This window comes from Homo sapiens, chromosome 18, assembly GCF_000001405.40.
Source record: "Homo sapiens chromosome 18, GRCh38.p14 Primary Assembly".
Taxonomy (NCBI): Eukaryota; Metazoa; Chordata; class Mammalia; order Primates; family Hominidae; genus Homo; species Homo sapiens.
This window is the reverse complement of record NC_000018.10, coordinates 41,479,490-41,503,930: the sequence shown is the minus strand read 5'-3', so window position 1 is coordinate 41,503,930 and position 24,441 is coordinate 41,479,490. Positions and strand designations below refer to the sequence as shown.

At 38.0% G+C, this 24,441-nt stretch overlaps 1 long non-coding RNA gene across 1 annotated transcript in view; it reads left to right on the top strand.

Annotated features, from left to right (window-relative positions):
- KC6 (keratoconus gene 6) overlaps positions 1 to 23,660 on the top strand; it is a 40,407-nt gene extending 16,747 nt beyond the window's left edge. The window contains exons 3-6 of the long non-coding RNA NR_002838.2: positions 2,655 to 2,811; positions 21,354 to 21,486; positions 21,974 to 22,049; positions 22,664 to 23,660. This is a non-coding gene — a long non-coding RNA (keratoconus gene 6). The remainder of the gene's footprint in view (positions 1 to 2,654; positions 2,812 to 21,353; positions 21,487 to 21,973; positions 22,050 to 22,663) is intronic.
- Positions 23,661 to 24,441: the final 781 nt, after the last annotated feature.

Here is a 24,441-nt window from a genome sequence, read left to right as displayed (position 1 = left end):
ATTGATGCCCTCCCCATGGTAATGAGTTACCATAAAATCTGGTTGTTAAAAAGAGCGTGGCACCCCTTCCCTCTCTCTCTCTTGTTTCCTCTGGCCATGTGACACTCCTGGCTCTCCCTCTACCTTTTGTTATGATTGTAAACTTTCTAAGGCCCAACCAGAAGCAGATGCTGGTGTCATGCTTCTTGTGCAGTCTGCAAAACTTTAGGCCACATACAGCTCTTTTCTTTATAAATTACCCAGACTCAGGTATTTCTTTATAACAATGCAAAATGGACTAACAGATTCTGAAAGAGTGAGATAGATTATTGAGAATATTTGTTGTCGGGAAACTTGGGCACCTAACCTTCTTGACATAAGAAACTCTCCCACATCACACTGATCACAATCCATGCTAAGATTTCTTTATTTAGGGTTTCTCATCTTAACAGTGTCAACAAATTTCAGAAGGCATCTTCAATTAGAAATAAAACTTGAGAAAGCATACACACACCTCCTGGGTCCCTCCTGGGACAACCTCCTGGGTCACTTAACAGATCCATTTGTTTAATATTAGTCATATTTATCAGCTTCTGACAACTCTGTGAGGGCAATATTTGTTAAGATTTCTTTGTTAGATTTTTAATGGGCTTAATCTCCCAACAGTATTTAAACAACTAGAGGGACCAGGCTATGTTGATCACATGGCATTTTGAAGCCTCTGTTTTCACTCCAGGTACATTTTAGTTTGGCTTAAAAGCAAATATTAAACCCTAGGGAGGCAGTTTGAGATAGAAAGTGGCCTAGGATTGGGATAAACAATGATCACTTTCAGGGATGGTATGAGGTTCAAGAATAGTATGAGGGATGGTGACAGGGATTAGGAACAGGTGTGATTTAAACATGAGGCAAGGGTCATAAGTACATGTCACACACAAGGTTAATTAGGTAATTACACATATTTTACTTTTATTATTTGACTATTTTAAATGAAATACAAAAAAAATTATATCAATAACAATGTCTAGCTTTGGAACATGTCCCAGCTTCTTTAACTCCCCTTGAAAATAACTACTTCTAATAACCTGTATTACATGCGTATTAACTGGCTGACTGAAAGACCGTAGAGAAGAACCAATTCTTCTGTCATATACATAGCTAAGGATTCATTGCTTTGAATTACCTTTGTATTCTGGTTGAATGGTGTAATTGCTCAGCTATAGTTAATGCATCGCAGCATCATTCATACACTATTCTCAAACTACTCTGAGGCCAGGTGCAAAGGTAACAGTAACTGTGAAAATAATTAAGGAAACCCTAATGGAATAATCTTCCTAGGCCATTAAGACATCTGAAAATGGGGCAACCATATGATGTACATAATGAGAACATTGTGCCTCTCCATTGACATGCAGGTTGGTAGGTGCAGGCCTGGCTTTCTCCACGTCTCTTAGCTCATTGTTTCATTTGTTTCTGAGCATTTATTTGTGGATCTGTTCCAATCTTTATCCCCTCCTTAAGAAATCCAAGTAAAAATTGTCTTGCATGGCTTGATTTCATTTGGTGTCAGTGGGATCTAGGGTCTGGGAACTATTTTCAGGAAATCTAAAATTTCTCAGATTGTAGCTTCTGTTGCTTTGTAGAAACTGAATTAAAGATCAGTTGGGATTCAGCATGTAGGAGGTTCTTAGCGGAATTTCAAGATCATTTGCTTTACTAGTTACTGGTATGTTTTTGACCCCTTTGTGTGAATTGAAAAATATGGCTTCTCCCTGTGGGTACATGGCTGGTAGAGTGGTAAATGCTTTCTTGAGAATAAAAAGGCGCTATGTCTTTCTGATAGTTACTCACGTACACCAGGTGCACAGCTTGGTGACTCACCACTCACTGTTCTGGCTTTACTCTGGTGTGGCACACAACCTGCACAATCATATATGGCACCCCTGTTTGGTTAGTACAAAGTTATAGTCATTAGTCACAGAATCTTGGTAATTTATTACCGTATACAATGTATGTAACTTGATTTATACAAACACTAATATATTGTTTAGTCACATAAATATGTGTTCATTTTGGTAAGGCATGCCCCCAAGCTTCTAGAAATACTTGTAACAGAGTTATAATTATTAGCTCCAGCAGGGGGGTTGTAATGCCATGGAAAAGGCAGCCATCAGTGGTTCTTTGGGGAAATACCAGAATCAACCTAAAGAGAAGCAAACAAATATGAAATTTACTTTTAAAAAAGTGGATTTATGGTGATAGTCTAATGGGAATAGAAATTGAAGACATAGTTTTAAACATGTCTGCCTACTATCCTCTAGCAAACAGTTTGCTTAATCTAGTATGCTTGATCATATAAGCCAACTGATGGTTTCTTCATGTTCTGTCAACCACTTACCATTAACCACTGAGTTCTGAAGTCACTTATGAGTGACTGCTTAGTGTTGAGCAATAAAGGGTATTCAAACAAAGTAGAAAATAGGTCTTTTTCCTTGAAGTATTTGTATCTGATTGAACACAAGATAACACAAGTCCTATTATAACTGAGAGTTAGATTGCACTTTATTCTTGATGCAGTTGTTAGAAACTAGGGAGAGAAAATTCCTGTGTGCTAAGTTTTTGGGTGTCTGAAAGAACATTTGAATGATTATTTAATCTGTTTTTATTGTTGCTAGTTGCTGACCATAGAGAGTTACATTGTCCAGCTTTTCCTCCACGAAATGGAGCAGCAACAAAAGGCCAGATCATTCAACCTATGCTTCCTCAAGTCTGATAACATTAGCGTTTCTCTCAGATATCAGTTCAAGTAAGGAGTTGCCAATAGAAGCAAAGGTAAGATATCAAGTTATTTCTCCAGGTGTGTGTGTGTGTGTGTGTAAGGTGCCTTAGAGACTGCAGCATTTTATACCATCATTTCAGAAATAAGGACACAGAGGCCTTGGAGAGAGGAATTGATTTGCCCAAGGTCGCACATTTTAGCCTTCAACTTATGGAAATTATTATTACTATTGATAAAATGCAACTCAGGACTGTATCAAAGGGCCTGAACTCTGCACTAAACTTTCTTCTTTTCCGTTTCAATATCATCATAATCTGCCACTCTTTACTGTGGTGCCTCAGGAAGAAGCAAGGGAGTCTTAAAAACCACCTAGCTCTCCAGATTCAATTGGCAGGTTAATCGAAAACAATTTTTTTATAGCACAATAAAGGACCTGGGAACAGTGGAACATTAATATTTGTTTCCCAAAGAGTGGACCCTAAGAGAATAAAGCTGCAAGCAATCGAATTACGGTACTCATAGTGTGAGGGATGCATTTTGCATTGCTTCATTTTATGCTACCATTAATCAGACAGCCAAGAGCAAAGGCTGCCTCACCAACCACTGTCAGGGCACCCCGAGAGGAACGCCACCCCCACATCCTGAGGAAGGGAAGCAGCTTTCCTAAGTATCTTCTGTGATTACAATATAGTTTTCATGATGCATTCTTAATAAAACAAAAGGTGGCCTTCTGACAAAAATATCATCTGGTTTTTATAATGTAAAATACAGCAATTTTATCAGCATTAACACTGATTGGCTGCCATTAGCCCCTTGCCTTCTAATAAAATTTATGATACCTTTCAGGAGCCCAATTTGATAGAAACTGAAGTGATTGCACCCTGCTTAGATATCTCTTTGGCATCTATTCCAACAATAATGCGGTAATTTTATGCATGAAATAGCACAATTGGCATAAATAGTTATAATACTAGGTGCTGTCTAAGGAAACTGGCTGGTGGAAAATTAGAAAGCGCTTCACACTTTTGAAACAGGTAATTAGGATTTTTCTTCGTGCTCATACAAGGCAGACTGGAGTTTCATTTTATATTTCATGTTTCATTAAAATATAGGTGTTAAAAATAAATGTTGAATTTAAGACTGCATATATTATGAAATTAAAGGTATAGTACATGGTAGGGGGTGTGAAGTGTGCAACGGGACCTTGGAGTGTTGTATTTAGTTACAGTGGGAATATTTTTAAAAATAGTTTGGACAGGTAATAGAGCCTAGTTTCAAGCATGTTACTGTGAAAAGGATTGATTTAGAAGTAAGTTGCATTAAATCACCAGATCTGTAGCCCAAGAAGCAGTATGCTGCCTTAATTTAAACTCTAACTGAGGATGATCTTTTAATTGGCAGGCAAAGGTAGGCTTTGGGTCATGGGGGATTCACTGTGCAGTTTTGAACTTTGCAATGGGCTCAACAGTTCCCTGTCTATTCCACATTTCCATTCTGACCTTGGCTGCTCATTCAGACCTGAGCCAACCCCCAGTGGAACCTTTTTGATTCTCTTGAACTGTGCTGTGGTTTTGGGAGGCGGGCAAAACTCTGTAATGACACCATTGTATTAACCTCCACTTATGACCCAGCCAAGGGCAGACTTTTAAGTTTTCCCAGCTGTGTCATTAAGTTTGTTGCTCTGGCTCCACTGACATGACACCATCACAATCCCAGCCACAGACTAATGACTGCAGTTGTGAAGGCAGCATGTTATAGAAGAGAGTACATAGGGCTAAGGGTCCAGAACACCAGATTTTGTCTTCTTGTTTTCCCATAATTACCCATGTGGCATTAGGCATGGCCTTGAACCTTTGTGTGTCTCAGTTTCCCCACCCATAAAATGGGAATTGTGCCCTCATTCCTTTTCTTAGAAGTTTGTTGTGGAAAAAAAAAAAAAAAACAGATTGCAAAACAAATAGAAAAGAAAAGGCAAAATATGGCACTCCACAGATGTAGAGTGTATTGCAATGTTTTGATGAAACTCTACTTTGTCCAGAAATCATTCATTGACTACTCAGGAACAAATGGGTTTCATGGAAAGAAAGGCCAGTTTGTGGGGCAAATTAGACTAAACTCTGTGCTGGTAGAACTGCTTTCCAAGAATGCTGTCACTGCTATAGTTTTTAATGCTTCAAATCTCAACTCCCTCCCTCCATTCGCCATAGCTCAACCATGTTCCAGGAGTGTATTCCAATCAGCTTGTTTTTTCTTAACTGGTTAAAGGAATGTTGCTCATTCACCTGCCCCAACTCACATATTAACAATTGTTTAACTGGGATTAGATAAAAGGAAAGCTGACTTACAGATGAACCAAGAGGGAGCTATTTATGCCACAGCCCCCAGCCCAGTAACTTTATGTTTCTGATCTCCTGCAAAATTTTTTTATAAAAAAAGCTTAGCCAGGAACTAGTAGAAAGAATAAAGTAAAGATGGTGTAAGAAATATATGGATAGGCAAGTACCAAGGCTGAGACCTTAGGAAGAATGGTGAGGTGTGGGTAAATGGAGGAGATAATCAGCAGATAAAAGCTCAGATGGTCAGAAACATATAGAACTATAATGCCATCTCCAAAGTATTGCATGCATACAAATGACGTTCAATCCGTTGAATATAATGGAGACACACTATTTCAAAAATTAAGTTCTTCTTTCTTGAGCTTTAAAAGTATACACATTTACCCAAATGAATTAAAAACATGCACACAAATATTTATATCAAAAGTGTACATGATTTCCAAAACTTGGAAGTAACCAAGATTTACTTCCATGGGTTAGTGCATAAATTAACTGTGATACATATATACTATGGAATATTATTCAGCAACAGAAATAAATGAGCTATCAAACCACAGAAAGACATGGAGGAAACTTAAATCCAGGTGGCTAAGTGAAAGAAGCCAATATGAAAAGGCTACATTCTATATGATTTCAAATATATGACATTCAGGAAAAGGCAAGGCTGCAGAGACAGTAAAAAGATCAGCTAGGTGCAGTGGCTCACGCCACTTTGGGAGGCTGAGGCAGGTGGATTATCTGAGGTCAGGAGTTCAAGACCAGCCTGGGCAACATGGTGAAACCCCATCTCTCCTAAAAGTACAAAAAATTAACTGGGCGTGGTGGCACGTGCCTGTAGTCCCAGCTACTCAGGAGGCTAAGGCAGGAGAATTGCTTGAACCCAGGAGGCAGAGGTTGCAGTGAGCCAAGATTGCACCACTGCACTCCAGCCTGGGTGGTAGAGCGAGACTCAGTCTCAAAAAAAAAAAAAAAAAAAAAAAAAGAAAGGAAGAAAGAAAGGAAAAAAAAAAAAAAGATCAGTGGTTGCCAGAGGTCTGGGGAGAGGGAGGGAGAGATAGGCAGATTGAAGGAGATGTTTAGGGCAATGAAAGTATACTATATGATACCACAAAGTTGGATACATGTCATCATACTATATGTTTGTCAAAATCCATAGAATGTAAAATGCAGAAAGTGAATTAAGTAAATGATAGACTTGAGTTAATAATAGTGTACCAATATCAATTTATCAATTATAACATATGTACCACAACGATGTGTGATATTAATACTAGAAGCAGAAGAAGCAGGGGAAGAGATTAGAGACTATAAGGAAACTGTACATTCTACCCAATTTTTCCATAAACCTAAAACATCTAAAAAAGTTAAAGCCTATTATTTGTTTATTTGTTTAGAGACAGGGTGTCTGTATGTTGCCCAGGCTGGAGTGCAGTGGCTATTCATAGGAGCCATCACAGCGCACTGCAGCCTTAAATTCCTGGGCTCAATAATCCTCCTGCCTCAACCTCCTGACTAACTGACACTAGGGGTGCACAGCACCAGGCCTGAATATTTTTTTAAAGTCCATGCAAATTAAAGAGAATGGTGGTTTTATATAAGAAAAATATTTTCCTTACAATTTTTGCAGATATGAGAGCAAACTGTGTCAGTGATTTAGAAAGGTATTACAAAATACTCTCACAATTTAAGATGTATGAGAATGATACCACAGAAAGAGCAACTGCATTTATTGTGAGTAAGTAAAATTGCAAGGTCTCTGGCAGTTATTCTAATTTTCAATAGAAAATCATAAAGCAGGGGAAAAATTCAGCATTGATATAAAATCTCACTGCAAATTCTGTTCATTATTTCTATCATATATTCTAGTGATTGCAGTGTAAAGACATGGCCTCTTAATGTAATAATATATTCACATTCTCAAGCAATTCTAGAAACAATGTCTAGTCTACCAGAAAGGTGATTATGCAAAGGGAATTGGGGACAATGCTATATTTCTTAATCTTTATTTCAACACTATGTTCTAGATAGGCATTTCTTCATGTTATACTTATTGTGCATCCATCATTAAGGCAACTTGCCCAAAAAAATTTAAGAGAATTTTTACAAAAGGCATTGAGACTAACATGTCCCTCTTCTCTTTATCTTTTATACTTCCAATAGGACTATCTTTCTAAATCACAAAGCCGATCATATACCTTCTCCCATGTTGTGGAAGGAATTTATGGTCGCCAGGAGGGAATGTCATATAAGAAACATGTCAGCCTTTTTTCCTCACATCCTTTCACTCACTCCTCCCTGAAGGTGGATAGGGAATGGTTCAATGACTGGTGAAAGTGAGAGCTGGCCAGGCGCGGTGGCTCATGCCTGTAATGCCGGCACTTTGGGAGGCCGAGGTGGGTGAATCACCTGAGGTCAGAGTTTGAGACCAGCGTGGCCAACGTGGTAAAACTTTGTCTGTACTAAAAAACAAACAAACAACAACAACAAAAAACCTTAGCCTGGCATGGTGGCACACACCTGTAATCCCAGCTACTTGGAAGGCTGAGGCAGGAGAGTCGCTTGAACCCAGGAGGTGGAGGTTTCAGTGAGCTGAGATCATGCCACTGCACTCCAGCCTGGGCAACAGAGTAAGACTCTGTCAAAAAAAAAAAAAAAAGAAAGAAAGAAAGAAAGAAGGAAAGAAAAAGAAAGAAAGGAAGGAAGGAAGGAGGAGAAAAGAAAAAAAGAATAGAAAAGAAAAGAAAAGAAAAAAGAGAGAGCCTACATCTCAGATCTTTCTTTTTCCCATTTTAGGATCTGGCTGGCTGCAGGATTGCATAGACTTATCAGTTTCTGTTCTCCTGCATTAAGAAACTTTAAGTGGAATTAGTTTGTTTGATTCACACAGTATCTACAGCATCTGGAACCTGGCACATAGTAGGTTCTCAATATTTGTTAGATAAATAAATGGGTAATCACACCAGTGTGAAGGACAGTAATTTTAGATAAGTGTATCAAATCCTGAAGACAAATATTCCTCCTGGGGTGGGCTGAGTTGAGCTCTAGACAAAAAGGGAAAGTAGTAGGAAGCCTGCTTATGACCATCCATGTGAGCCACATTCTCTCATCCAATCTTGTCAAATGTAAAATGGATACTGGTTCATCTATAATACTTGACTCCTTTCTTTTTTTTTCAATTTGATTTATAACTTGCAGAAGAGAGGATCATGATATACTTGTGTTCCCACATACCAACATTAATTTCCTGCTTGAAACAATAATCTATAGCAAAAAGTTTAAATTTGTTAGGGTGATAATCAATGAATTTTGTAACATTTACATAATTATTATGTAGGAAAAAAACTAGAGCTAGGTTGGGTAACTGAGAAACTCAAACAATTAAGGATAAGTGAATAAACAGAAGAAGATTCATAAGAAATATATAGAGAGTTGACACATTTCAACTAAACATACACGATAAAACCTTTTGATCAAAAATATTTATATGATATAGCAAAATATTGACATAAAATTTCAATTATATATGCTATTCTTACATATTTTGCATAGACTTTTCACCTTTTATGAATTTTAAACATCATTATGTCTGACTTATTTTTTACAGTTTCAAAACAGTTCAGTTTAAGCCCAGATATCTGGTGACCTGTCCACATGGTTGTATCTACAACATGAATTTTAGCTCTAGCGAAGAAACATACTTTCATAATTCCAATAAATTAGTGCAGAATATGCTTTTTGAAGAAGCAGACTCATTCCATTGGGAAATGCTTTCTAGATATCTCAAATCCAGAAAGTTACTACACACACTCTAAAGTATACATTAAGGAACATAAGAGTTTACTAAAGATTGTCTGTTTTATTTCATCTAGATGTAGTCATCACACTGGTTCACTTTAAAAATTAGCGATGTGCCTTGCCTTATGCTTTGAAGAAAGATAAATTGATCAAAAGAAGAAGGAATTTCCACAGCAAAAATCAGAAATTCTTGCCACATAAATTTCAGAGAGCAAGCAACATACAGATTTGCTTTAGGAGTCAGTTTTTGCCAAAGAGCAAAGTTCCCATGTATGACTGGAGAGAGAGAAAGAGAGAGAGAGACAACCACAATAACAACTTCATTTTAGCTTGAAAAATCATTAGTTCATTTATTTAATGAATGCTTTGCATGCTTATTGGGAGGAACAGTGTGACCAGGAAAAGAATCTAAAACAAACTTACTTAGGTTTGAGAATTTGCTTTGTAAATGGTTTATTTGACAACTTATTTACCCTTTTTTCAACATACCGTTTCCCCATTATATAAACTGGGGATAATAATGACTATATCATCTATGGTAAACATTAAATATGATACTATACAAAGAATCCAATGTACATTGTGTACCTTGAATACAATGTATGCAGAAAATCATGTTTTATCTTCTTTCCTCATTTAACTCTTTCCTATCTTCATGTTCTGAGTGTTAGGGGACCAGAGATGAGCCAGATATTTTATTGGCCTTAAGAGTTGACAATTTAGTGAAAGAGTCAGGTAATTCAAAAGCAAAACACACTCATCAATGTCGTAGGTGCTATGTATAGGATCTGGTATGAAAATATGACTCTGCCTGGAGCTTCCAGAGACGAATTCACACAGGAGGTATTGCAGAGGTAATGAAATACACTGAGGCAGGGGAGAGAGAACATGCTAAGGCCAAGAAACTACAAGTGGGTTAATATAATTAGATCATAAGTCATTACGGATGAGTAGTAGTTCATTAGTTCATTAGATGGAGCTGGGAAGATAGACTTGAGCCATGCCATGTGATGACCTACAGTGTCATGCTAGAGGCCACAGAATTTTCTCTGTGAGTGATGGAGATTCACAAAAGCCTGTAAACGGAGATTAGCTGGGTCAGATGCATTTTAAAAAGAGCACTTTAGTGACTGTGTGAAAAGTAGAATAATAACTGATTAGGAATCAATTGAATTAGTTTAGGAAACTTTCTTAACAAGAGAAATGAAGATAAGGACCAAAAAAATGGAAAGACATTTAAAAGACATAAGAAACAGCTATATGAATTGGAAATACCATGAGGGGTGACACACAAATACACTCTTCATCAAAGCAAAAAATAAAAAGTCTTGAGGATTGGATGTGATGATGGAAGCACATGGACATTGTACTTCAGTGCTCCACCTCCCAACAATTACCAAAGCCACAAGCAGAGATGGTTATACTTCTGCAACAGCTGCCTCTTTTGCTAAAGGGGAAGCTTTGGTATTATTCATGCTTCACTAGGAGACTTCTATGTGGAATGCCATCAGACAAACCCTACCAAGTTAAAAAAAAAGTGGGGGTGGTGGGGAGGTTATGAAGAGAAAAGTTTTCAGACTGTTCTCTAGAAATATACGGTGATACAGGTCTGAACATTCATGGAAGCAGAGTGTACACATGATTTGGTTTCTTCTTCTAATATAATTAATGTATACTGGGGACTGGTTAATTAGTTTTTCTCTGTCATGTCTTCCTTGGTGATATCTAGAGGAGTTTGCTACTTGACATAAATCCACTGGTGTAGACAATCGTGACTCTTCTCTCCATATGACTGGACTTCCCTCTGCCTTGGTCCTCCCTTTTTTGATCTGTCACACAAAATGATCTAACTTCCCCTTCTACTCACCCAGTTGGCCTGAAGATTGGATGAAAAGGTGCACTCAGCATATTAAGAAGACCCTCACACATTAGCTATCCAGAACAGATATTTTTCTCTCAGAATGACTTCCAGTTGTTATTTTCTATAATCTCAAATGTTAAATTCGTATATTTCACTTATAATCAGAATTCAACATCCTAGAAGTACTAATGAGATGTGCAAATACTCCTATTTAATGTTACACTTCACTCAATCTTTTCTTATCAGAATAACTTTTGAGGCATTGTTGTTGTTTGTGGCTGGTGCCTTTTATGGCCTCCATGTACATAAGCTTTGCCCCAGAAACAAGTAAAGGAAAGTTATTCCTTTACTTTGTTCTAGGGCAAAGTAAAATGCTAAAGTAAAATACTACTAATATTTTACTAAAGTAAAATACTACTAATATTTCAAATAATATTAGAGTCTTTCTAACTCTAGGATCAGAAATAATCATAAGTAGTTTTTAATGCCTTAGAAGAACTGTGCTTCTTCAGTTTTTAGGTTCTAAACACAATGTGAGAAACTAAGAGACATAGGAATGTAGGTGTGGTTTCTGCCCACAAGGAACTTTATATTTTAGATGGGATAAAACTCCATATATGTAAAGCACCTATATAATAACACTCAACACTGCATGATCAACTGCTGGATTATGTGGATATATGCTAAATAAAAACACATACAGTGAAAATTAATACATCTTGAACTACTCTATAACAGAAGGATGTTCAACTACAACTTGCAAAACAAAACTGTTCAGAGATTAGAAGAAACCATTCATTCACTCATTCATTGAAAAAACCAATATTTACTACCAGGTGACAAAGACTGTTCTATGCACTGACATGCAATGATAAATGAGCTAGAAAAATCTCCTGACCTATTGGGGTTTATAGACTACAAAGAAGAAAATAAACAAATGATTGTGTAATGTTGTTTGCGATGATGATGTGAGGTAAAGAGGGAAGTCATGAATGACACTTAACTTTAGAACTAACTGAATTCTGGAACCATTTGTGAAAATGGGGAAGAACCAGATTTAGATTGGAGCACAAGGTGGTAAAAAGAGGTCTCAAAACTTCTGTATTCAACTATTAGTTTAGCTTGATGTTTATTTGTCATTCAACTCCAGAGCTGAATGGAAAAGCTAAGGTAAGAAATACCAGTGTGAAAGTGTTAGTGGACAGATGATGCTTTTTTTTTTTTTTTGAGATGGAGTCTCGCTCTGTCACCCAGGCTGGAGTACAGTGGCGGGATCTTGGCTCACTGTAAGCTCCACCTCCTGGGTTCACACCATTCTCCTGCCTCAGCCTCCTGAGTAGCTGGGACTACAGATGCCGGCCACCACGCCCAGCTAGTTTTTTGTATTTTTAGTAGAGACGGGGTTTCACCATGTTAGCCAGGATGGTCTTGATCTCCTGACCTTGTGATCCTCCTCCTCGGCCTCCAAAAGTGCTGGGATTACAGGCGTGAGCCACCACACCCAGCCCAGATGATTCTTAAAACCATGAACTTGGTGGCACTCCAATGCACAAAGTGATAATTCAGAAAAGATGACAAGACAAGATAAGTCAAGACAAGACAAGACAAGAGAAAAGTCAAGATAATAGAAGTCTAACACCAGTTGGGACGATGAAGACAAATCATCTTCTGTCTGGGAAAGCAGCCAGTGAGTTAGGATGTATAACTGGAGGGGAAGGTATCTCCAAAGCCAAGTTAATACAGTGTTTCAAGGATGAGGGAATGATTAACTGTGCCAAATGCTGCTACAGAGTAGAGGAAGATTAGAACTGAGAATTCACTAATGGGTTCAACTACATGGAGGTTTTTGGTGACTTCACAAGAACAGTGTTATTGGAGTGACTGGATGAAAACTTGACTGGAATGGCTTCAAAAATAAAATTGGAGTTTAAGAAATGAAAAGAATGGGTATAAGCAACTATTTCCAGCAGTTTTCCTACAATGAGAAGAAGAAATATGTATGAGTGAAATGAAGGGCCACAGAAATTGTTAAAATGAGAGGTATTACAACTAGTACTTAGACTGACAAGAACAAACAGTGGAGTGATTGATGATGCAGTTAAAGAGGGATAAGTAAAGTTGCAGGAACAAAGCCCTTTGAGTATTTTAGAGACAATGGGATCCAGTGTGGGAGAGGAATATTTGGATTTCAGTGAAGGTAAGAAAAATGTAGCCACTGTAACAAAAGAAAAGCATTGTAAAATGAGAGTGGAGATATATTGGTGGGTTTGGTAATGGGAGATGAGGATGTTACTCTCTTCCGATTTCTTTGTTTTCTCACAGAAATGAAAGTTGAAGTCATCAACGGAGAAAGGAGGGTGAAGATATGTTAAAAGTTTGAGAAAAAAGGAAAAGTTTTTAAGGTGTTCTAGAAGAGATTTGGAGAGTGGAGGAACTAGGAATATATAGAAAGACTGCAGAAACATTTTAAGAGCCCACAGGAGATGGAGTGTTATAAACTTAAAGTGAAAGCAATCAGCATTATCATATTTTTCCCAATCCATGTTCCCTAGCTTTAGGGGACACGTGGGATAGTTGAGAAAAGGAGTTTCACCAAGGAGAGACCGGAGGGCAAGAGAATGAGTAAGTAATTGACTCTGGAGTCAAAGCTGGGAAAGGAGAGAAGAAAAAAAATGGCTCTTTGATAATGAAAGAGTGATGGGCTATGAATTAGGGACCAATGTTGATGGACTGTTGGCTGGAGATAGTGGCATAAATGTGTGAGGGATTTGTTAAATAGGAATACAAGTGAAATTTTGGAGGAAATGACATTACTGGTGGGTCAAAGTTTAGGGTGTGATATGAGAGTGGGAGGCTTTATTGAAGTGGGAAACTCATATAAACAGTTTTTGTGTAGTTTTAGAATGGTTATAATTTGCAAACGTAGGTGTGAGTAAACATGGGACTCCATTGATTAAGCCAAAATCTTTATTTGAAGAAGAAGAAAAAAATATTTTAATGGAGGCAGTTACACTTGACCTTAACACCCGAGTAATAACACTGGCATAAAAAGAATGGTTATTTCTATTCCCAATTTCTTAGTAAAACCAGTAGACAAAAAGTACCTGACATCAAATAATATATAAACTTGATGAAACATATTTTAAATAATTGCTTTGTTTTCTACTGTGACTTGCTAGTCTAATGTCATTTTAAGTATTAGAAAGCATCTGGTTTGCTACATATTGCTGTAAGTGAATACACCCTTGTTTCTAGTAATACTCTTGTTTTTGAAGTTCTATTGCCAATGCAAAATCATAAATAAGAATACTTATGTGCTAGTTAGGAAGATGCACCAAAGCCCTGAATTTCAAAGAAAAATGTAACAAATCAACAGTGAGAGGAAATACTTCAGGAATGAGCAAGAAAGTTATCAACTTGTATATCTAATTCTTTCTTTAAAAAATATTTTAATATGTTGACATATTTAGTTATATTATTAAAAAGGTCTTGCTTGAGAGAGGATTTTCACATAAACCCAAGGACTCCTCCCCTTCTTTATGCCCATTTTAAAATCTGGGCCATTGTGTCATAAGATTTCAACACAGATTCTCCCTCGCCCCCTTTACCTGCTGGCACGGCAATGGAAGAACTCCAGAGTATCAGACTGGTGCTCATGCATTATAAAGTAAGGACAGGTGAAGTTACCCAGATGTGGAATCTCTACTTGCCAGAGGCTACTGATGACATTTTATCCCAGACGAGTCTTGAGTACAGTTCCATAAAAACAAGAACATATGCTGGAGATAAAATAATATTAATTAATAGAATTTAAAAATAGCTAACAATTGTGATAATTCAAATATTGTATCCTTGTAAGGTTATTTTAAAATGTCATTTCTCTATTCACTTAAAGAAATTAGTTTTAGTCGTTTGAGAAACCGTAATGAATCTGAAAGAGCTAGTTTGGCTGCCAGGGTAAATACTTAATTAGGCTGTCCTGCCAGGTGTTTCTGAGCAGACTTACTCTGGCGAATTGCAATGAGACAAGCTCCACTGATCTCAAAGGTGATGGTGGCCCAAGTGAGGACAGTTGATTATCTTGGTCTACATTCCTCAAATGTGTCAAGATTGCATGATGAGACTAGCCTACTGATGGAATTAGACTCCCAGGAGTTGCTATCCTTAAATCAAGGGGCATCTTATTTGAAGAGAAGGAATATGTGCCTGAGACCAGGTCTTTCACCATCTGTTCAGTTCCTAGTTATACACAGGATTTTAAGGCAAACACAATTCTTAATTTCACTAAATATATGTTTGAATTTAACTATAGAAAGGCTAGGTTTTTGTTTGTTTAGCCAAAAGTGTTTTTTTAAGGTAAAAGAAGGGAGAGGTAAATAATGTAATGTAATGTATGTGTCTGTGTGTGTGTAAACACATTCTATATACCAGCCACTCATAAGTGGTTCCCACACATTATCTCATTTAAGAAGCTTCTTCATAGTTTGTGCTAGAAATAATCAGAAATATTGATAACTCTCTGCATTTCCATTCACTGAGAAACTTTTATCAGGAAGTAAGACATAAACACATTTGAGTTTTGTCAGAAAGTGAAACATAACACATTTACCAGAGAAAAGCATGATAGAATTAATCAAGTATAAGAATCATCTATAGGCTATAAGTCATGTATGTATGGCAAATTCAAAGAAGAAATATATATTTGGGTTGTAACTGATAAGGACTTACATTAAGAAAAACATGAGTCTTGAACTAGCGGAATTTTTTTATAAATTTAAAAGGTGGTTCCCGGCTATGTGGAGGGGAGGAATACATGTACAAGAACTGAAATCATGAAGATTTGAATCCAAGGATAAAGAAATAATCTATTTCAGCCTCTGGAGCTTCTGGGCAACTCAGAAGAGGACCTACCACTCTAGTCCTGTGATCCATAGAGGTTACATTTGTTCTAGTATAATTCACAGGCTGATTAAGAAGACGGGTCTTCATTTGACCCAGCAATCTCATTAGTGGGTATATACCCAAAAGATTATAATAATTATTCTGCTATAAAAACACATGCACACATATGTTTATTTCAGCACTATTTACTATAGCAAAGACTTGGAACTAACCCAAATGCCCATCAATGATAGACTGGGTAAAGAAAATATGGCACATACACCATGGAATATTATGCAGCCATAAAAAATGAGTTCATGTCCTTTGCAGGGACATGGATAAAGCTGGAAACCATCGTCCTCAGCAAACAAACACAGGAGCAGAAATTCAAACGCCTCATGTTCTCACTCATAAGTAGGAGTTGAACAATGAGAACACACGGACACAGGGAGGTAAACATTACACACTGGGGCCTGTTGGGTGGGAGGGGGGCAAGGAGAGGGAGAGCATTAGGACAAATACCTAATGCATGTGGGGCTTAAAACATAGATGATGAGTTCATAGGTGCAGCAAACCACCATGGCACATATATACCTATATAACAAACCTGCACGTTCAGCTCATGTATCCCAGAACTTAAAGTTAAAAAAAGTAAAAAAGACTAGTCTTATACAAAGAAAAATCTTATCTACCGTTGGGATGACATTTTACTAGACACACATGCAATGTTTCTATTCTGAGATTTTTTAAAATATGAGCAACCTTGGGAAGGGGATTGGTTAAGTCTGTAATCTCAGAGTAAACTAGTTTCTAAAACCACATTCCTTCTTGGTGGAAAAATAGCTGCATGAGTGAATTGGGTGTATGCTTTATGTGGGTGCCGAAACTCAGGACTCAGGTGGCCCTGCCTGGCTTTACAACCCAGTTCTGCCATTTAACTAGTTCCGTGTGTCTGGGAAAATTTGTCAACAACTTCAGGTCAAGGTAAAAATTGTAGCCAATTTCAAGGTGGATTTGTAAGAATCAAAGAGGTGTTCTGTGAAAAGTGTAGTTCCTAGAACATAATAAGCAATCTCTAGATATTTGCTATTATTATTATTTTGAGAAGCAATAGAGTGTTAGAGAAAGAACAGTGAGGAGCATAAGGACTTCAGGCATCAGAAGTGTACCAAGGATGCTGGAACAAAAGGAAAAAAAAAAGCACCTTGGCTAATTTTGTAATTTTTCACTGACTGATCCTGCAGAGTAACTCAGGTAAGTGTTTTTGCAAATAGGCCATAAGATTTCCTACTGGCATAATCTTTTGCAAATTAGTGACTGTAATATTCTTCACTGTCTGTATTCTAGAATGCCTCCTGTTCCTTTAGTGCCTTCTTTCTCCATCATGGCTCTCTGATCATTTTTGGAAAGTGATGTGCCCAGTGCCTATTTCATCAGGCCCAAAGCCACCACTCCATGAAGCCAGGGCTTGCATGCTGCCCTGGGCCTGGGGACAATGGGAGTAGATTGCTGGCTATCTGAGTAGTACTTACTGAGTTATTTCCCCATGTAGAATCATCAGTCACATGCTGGCAGATGACCTCAGCATGGCCAGGGAAGTTCACACCAATTTATTAGCAAAAGGAATGAAGCCAGAATGAAGCTGATGGTTTAGGTATTGTTCAGCCTCGTCAGGAATTTCAATACATTATTGTTGGGGCAATATAGTCAACATGTCTATTTTGAGATCAGTTTCCTTCTTGTTCCCCCCAAATAAGTTTCTAGTGAATTTGAGACTACAGAACATCCCTGGGGTTCTTCCTGGTTTTTCTGGCCCAGGCAGCAGGATATTGTGTTTTTCCCATTACAGGTGTGAGGAAAATGTTGGAGTTTACTTTTCCTCATCACAAGGTGAGACAACTCAAACCAGTTGGATATATTTCTTTAAAAAGCAAGAGTATTTTATTTTAAGATAATTGTTTTAGTATGTGTCCATTTACTTAAATAAAAATCTTATTTCGAAGTGTCTTAATAATGCTACTAGGAATATCTCATTTTTTGGTAGAAAAAAATATTAAACAATTAACAATCTTTTTAGGGCGTTTTTTTTAATATGAATTTTAGATGAGTTATTTAATCTCTTAACTGAGTTTGTTAAAAAAAAATGTCTAAACAATATTTATCTGGCCAAATTTCAAGTTAAATTTTGTTCTAGGAGGTCCCCTGTCTTTGAAGGATTTGCATACAGGTTAAGGAGAGAAGAATAACAAACATAAAATCATTAGAGAACTGAAAAGGAAAATTTTAATTTATTACAAATTTGTGTACCATACGAACGATAATTAGGCTAAGAGGATACAGGTGGGAGGGATTAATGTCAACTGAGTAGCCAGCTATGGTTTCACAGAGGGTACGAAATTAAACTGGGCTTTGCCAGATGGACTGACCATGGATCGACACGAAAAACACAGAAGGGCAATCAATTTAGAGACAACAGCATAAGCAAAGATGGAAGGGTGGGAAGGAGTTGGGTAATGTTAATTCAGCCATTCAGCAGTATGGGGGAGACCACATCCAGACTAGGAGAACATTCCATCCGTTGTAATCCTAAATATTCTTTATGTGCTTTACAAAGTACTTTAAAAATGTAAGGAGATGGGCCGGGCACAGCGACTCACACCTGTAATCCTCGCACTTTGGGAGGCCGAGGCGAGCAGATCACCTGAGGTCAGGAGTTCGAGACCAGCCTGGCCAACATGGTGAAACCTCCTCTCTACTAAAAATACAAAAATTAGCCAGGCATGAGGACAGGTGCCTGTAGTCCCATCTACTTGGGAGGCAGAGGCAGGAGAATCGTTTGAATCTGGGAGGCAGAGGTTGCAGTGAGCCGAGACCGCGGCACTGCACTCCAGCCTGGGCAACAAGAGCGAAACTCCATCTCAACAACAACAACAACAACAACAACAACAACGACAACAAAGTAAGGAGATGGTTTGGCAAACAGTGGTAAGCACAGGGTCAAACTCTCCTGGACTTAAATTCCAGGGGTGCCATTTACCAGCTGCATGACCTTGGCCAAGTATTTAAACCTCTTTATTTCAGTTTACCCACTTGTAAAATGGCAAAAATGGCACCCTGATCTCATAAGAATGTGGAAAGTGAAAAAGTAAATGTCACTGAGACATAGTGCTTGCTATACAGAAGAGAACTCATGAGTGGTTGCTAGCATTATGGTTGCCTTTGCTGCTATTATTTTTAGTATTGCAGTAGTGCTCTGACCTTTGGAATAAGATTAGGTTGATAAGTAGTATGGAAACATAGTCTCAAACACAAGGTAGGGAGATTATGTTTAAGGTGACCATATATCCCTGTTACATGAAGCATTTTCCATTTACACCTGTGGTCTTGACATAAATATTAAGTGCACCTTTTTTTACTCTCAAATATGTCCTGGTTTGGGCAATAAATTATATGGTCATGCCTTTTATAACTGATGCAGGAACATAAGGAGCAGCGTAGGTTTTTGAGCAGGGGAAATGCTGGGATGGAAGTGGTGCTTTAGTGAGATTTCTATGGCCACGACATCCAGGGGGCTTAGAGGGTGAATGCCAGGAGAGCAGCAAAGATGCTCTTATGGATAGCAATGGAGACCCACAACACAAAGATAGTTATAGGAGAAGAGAGTTCCTGATAAATCCTAGTAAGAAAAGCAGGAGGAAAGGAGTACCCTCTTCCTAAATCTGACCCTTGACCCCTCATATTCCTCACTTAGTTCTCAAGCCCTTCTTAGCAAAATTCCTGTGCAGACCCACAACCCATGATTGATGGAAACCCCTATGATCAGGGGGCCAATCTAGTCCATCCTGAGGAGGGGAGGTGAGGCTCCCAATCACTCTGACTTGATCTGGCGTAAACTACTCAGACAGTGTAAGAAACAGTTGTGCAATGTAAACAGTTGTGCTTTCCTGGGCATTTATAATTGCCCCTTGTTCAAACTGTTCTGATGATTTATGGTAGATGGCCCTGTGTCATGCTCCAAACTTGGGCTTGTCCTCTTTTATATGTGGCAGCAGGCCAGTCTCAAAGAGAGTAAACCTTTCTAGTGAAGGTGAATAATTTAGCTAAAACAAACAAACAAATGAAACCATTATATAAAAGAAAAAGAGCAGAAGGCATATACTGGGAGTTTCTGGTAGTTGGGGAGATGGTTTTTAGCTAACCACAGTGATGACTGACAGTAGGGGAGCAGAAACTGGACTGAGCAGGGCAGAATTCTCTGCACAGCGGGGACAAACTCCAAGAGGGTGAAGAACAGGTCCTGAGTTTGGGCACTTGCTGAGGCAGACAGACAGGAGAGGACCTGTGATTCTTGGAGAGGGACTTTAGGAATGATGTAACTATGTCTGGGTATCTATGTGGTTTTGTGCTACGGGACTGCACTGTAAACCTTCCTCTGTCTCCCAAATGTAATTACTAGAACAGAACGTTCTGCACTGTTGCCTGATGTTTTTGGTGCCTGGGCATTTTATCTGGCACTATGGGGAGTAACTGGGTCATGTGTCTAAGTGAGACAGTGAGAATTTGGGGTCAGTTGTGTTCAAATCAGGTGCAGCCGACTCTAAGCTACACTTATATGTACCAGACTGTGATGAAATCTAGACCAAAAGAAAATATGAAGTAAAAGTTCTGTTTTGAATATTATGTTTCAAATATTTTTTGCACAGACTTTTGACCAGTCAAGTCTGAAGGAGAGTCATCTTGTCTGAATAAGGCAGTTCTTTGGGAGTGTTATCATGAAAGCGCCAAACAAATTAAGCCTATAAACATTTAATTGCTGAAAACGAGCTCTTAATTTAAAGAAGATCCAAAGTGAACCATTTGGTAAATCAGGGAATCTTTTGTAATGCAAATAAACCCTCCCCTGTGCCATTATCTTATCTTGTAAGTTTCTGAATTGGGAAAATGCTGGGCCCACCTGTACTGCATAGTGAGAAAACCCAGCATAATAGATAGTAAGCCTTAGGAATATTTCAACCCTAGCAGCATGGTTCACTGTTGTCTATGACATGTTGTTAAATTATTGATACCCAACCAGGCTTTGGGACATAGGCTTTGTTGTTCTGAGCTAACAAAGCCACCTGAGAGAAAGCCATAATGGAGAGCAGGGACTTAGCTGTGATGGGGTGATGCTTCCGGGCAGCGAATCCTTCCCATAACAGGAGAGGGCTACAAATTATTTGGACTGACCACTCTTGCAAAAAGGAAGAGAAAATAGGTGCATTAATGAAATTCTTACAACAGATGGCAAACTGTCCTTGGATTCTCCGGTGGGGGAAAAGGGAAAAAAGAAAACTTTCAAAAAATATTTTATATGAGTTTATCACACTGAATCCACTTACTCTGAGGACTCACAGAGAGCTGTGTAAGAGACATTCACTTAAATTATTTAACAGAAGATGACAGAAAAGAATTAAAGAAAGAAATTTTCCTATCTCAAGTTAAAACAACAATCTACTCTCAATCCACGGGTAAATCTCTGGGTCCAGATGGCTGCCCAACAGAATTTTAGCAAACATTTGGAGAGATAATAAGGCCTGTAACAGTAGATAATTACTCACTTATATATGGCTCAGTGCCCCCTCATCTACATTAGTTTCTATAGCAGGTTTTTTGCCAAAAGAAAGAAAGCAGACCCCAGCTCTATTTTCTCATTTGTAACATTCTCTTGCTTCACTCTGTGCAGATGCCAGGAATCATCGTTTTTATTTCAGTGTCCTTACGAAGACCTTTGAGCACAATGGAACGATGAGGCAACATTAAATATTACTGGAATGGGGTATGAAAGCAGCTACTAGAAAATCCTGCAAGAAAAATAGGTAAAGATCCAGTTTAGTTGTCAAACACATCATCCAACTGATGGATAGGTTTAAGTGGGGGGAGGTCCCATTTGCCCTTCTTCTTCACTTCCACCACTGTCTTTCCCAAGAGAAGACATAAAAGATGGCATTTGGGGAACATGTAGGATTGAACATTCACTCAGAGTATAAAGAGCAAAGGTTGTGGACATTTTCGACAGCAACAAGTTTATAGTCATTTTCCCGGGGGCTAAGTGAAGCCCAGTTAGTTTAACCAGAGTCTGTGTTCTAAAGCTTTGAAGCAAAAGTAAGGCTCCAAACTATAGGCTTCACTGACCAGATGGGCTATGAAAGTCTCTACAAATTATAGATGCTTCAGAGAGACTATAATCCTTAGCTCTTATAGATTTTTTTTTTTGCCCCTCTGTGGAGCATTTTACAAAGATGAGCTAATTAATCCTCTAACCAACCCCGTAATTCAGAATAAGTGATTTTTCCCATTTTACAGATGGAGAAACTGAGTGCTAAGAGTCTTGCCTTTTAGCTGTCAACAGTTTGAAGATGAAACAAATCTGGAACAGCTGGTAAATACTAAGTCATTTCCACCTCAGTCAGGCAAATATGTCTACCAGTTTTCTGTTAACTAGATTGTGACACCCATGCACTCAAAGCACACTCGTATTTATTGATTAATGCAATGGTAATAGCCATTTATTGAGTTCTTAATATGTCCTGCACTGCACATAATGTTGGAGTGATCAGTCTTATCGTTCTTCAGAATGGCAGCTCTCATTCTTGGCTCATTCATATTAGAATATACCCGGGAGACTTTAAAAATCCTGATGCCTACTTCCCAGATCAAATAAACAGAATTTCTGTGGAGTGGGTTCCAGGCATGAGTCCCCTTCCCCAGGTAATTAGAATATGCAACCTAATTTAAGAACATTTTTGCTAAGAAGGCTATAAAGGAGAAATACAAAAATGGAAGGATATCCAGAGTTAATAATAGGCTGTTGTTTTATTTTATTTTGTTTTTAGATGAAATGGACTTGAGTTATAGGATGACTAGAAAGGGCCAGTAGAGAAGAAACAAAAAGTAAACAGAAGAGAAAGGATCATTATTGAAACATGTTCCCAGAGGAAATGAGACAATGAGGATTTTCACTTTCTCTTTTATGTCTCTTTTGCACACTTACAGATTTCTATTGTGGCAGCTATTACCCATTTTTGTTATGCATCTGTCTCTTCCCAGACTATAAATTATTTAAGGTGTGAGTCGGAGACCTAGGCATTTCTTATGGCCAGAACCTTAAGCAATGTCTGGGATATAGCAGATATAACAGACTCTCAGCTATTGCGTGAATTAAGGAATGAGCTTGAGAAATACTTTTAAGTATTTTCTTCCTGGAAAAGAGACTCCAACTGTCTTTTGTACAGTGCTTGAAACTCATACCATTAATCACTCTTTGAGACTAAAGCTCTGATAACCTGAGTGAAGAATTGGTTACAAGGACGTTACAATGCACCATGCTACCTTCAGCCATTTGTGCTTCTGCATAAATTGTTTTGACCGATTAGCCAATCAGTCACCAACAAGACCCAAAAGGAATGAGAATCTAAACAGATTGTCACCATTTGGTGGGTTTGAACACCAAGAGGATAGAGCCTAGAGCATTGTGGTCTGCTTTAAGACTTCTGAGAGGCAATAAGGTAAGGTCTGAAAAACCAAGAGTCGGGATAAACAAGTCAATTGTGTATACATGGAGGTGGGATGAATAAAGAGGAGGAGGGGTTGATGGAAGAAAACTGCACCCAAAATTATCGTGTGTCAAAGGCTGGCTGTGGAGCCGATCTTACAACCTCAAATAATGTGATCATACTATCACTCAGCATAATTTGTGCCCCCCAGTTTTGTATGTCTAGGCTGCTTAGGAAATTGATGAATAACAGAAGATGCCACTTATCACTGAGATGAACCAAGTCATCCCAGAGGGAGTACTATTTGAAGATGTGTGGAACATTCTGTGAATATAGAAAAGGATCCCATACCATGATTCAATTCATGACTGTGGCTAGTAGAGATCCACATTTCATGTTTTGCTATCCATGGGATTTAAATCTGCTGTCACTCTCCTTCCTATGCAGCTTAGATTGCTTGACCTAACATTACAATTAAACCTTACATAAATGCTAAATCCTTCTGCCCCTCTGTTCTATATTGCTTGTATCTGGGACAAATCCAAACCTTGGATAAAACTATTGCCAGGAAATATCATGTTTTCCTGGAAAAATATCACATAACAGTGTGATTCCATTGTGAATTTATGATTGCTAACCTCATCTGAGTTCCAATAACAAGACTAACCAATAATTCTAGTATGTTGTTCTGGTCAATTTCTTTCCAATATTTACAATGGCTATTTCAAACCTATTCCATTTTCATTAATCTTCTGGCTCTCCCCATCTGCCCCTGTCAATTCTCAGCAGATGATCTTATTCTTCACAGGAGAAATTGAAGCTGTCATATGGGAGCTCTTGTATCTTTTCATCTTTCTAGCTACACCCATTCTTTTATCTCTATAACTTGTTTAAAAAGGCGAGTTATACATCTTATTTTAATACCAATTCCTTTCTAGATATTTAGGAACGATATATTTCTGCTCACCAATCCCTTCGTTGGTACTTCCACAAGACTCTTTTATAGGATCATCCCAATTAGCAGTTAACAAACTCTAGTCTCTCATAAATAAAATTATACTCTCAACTCCACCCCTATTCCCACTCCCCAGTATTGCCCTATATTTCTGCTTACTTGAAAATTAAAATTTTAAAAAGTTTTTTATGCTGTTTCAATGTCTCTATTTCCCTTGAACTGTATTTTATTTTACTATGGTCAGAAAACTTAACATGTGATCTACACTCAAAAGTGTAGAACATTATTGTTGGTTTTAAGTACAATGTTGTATAAGCAATCTG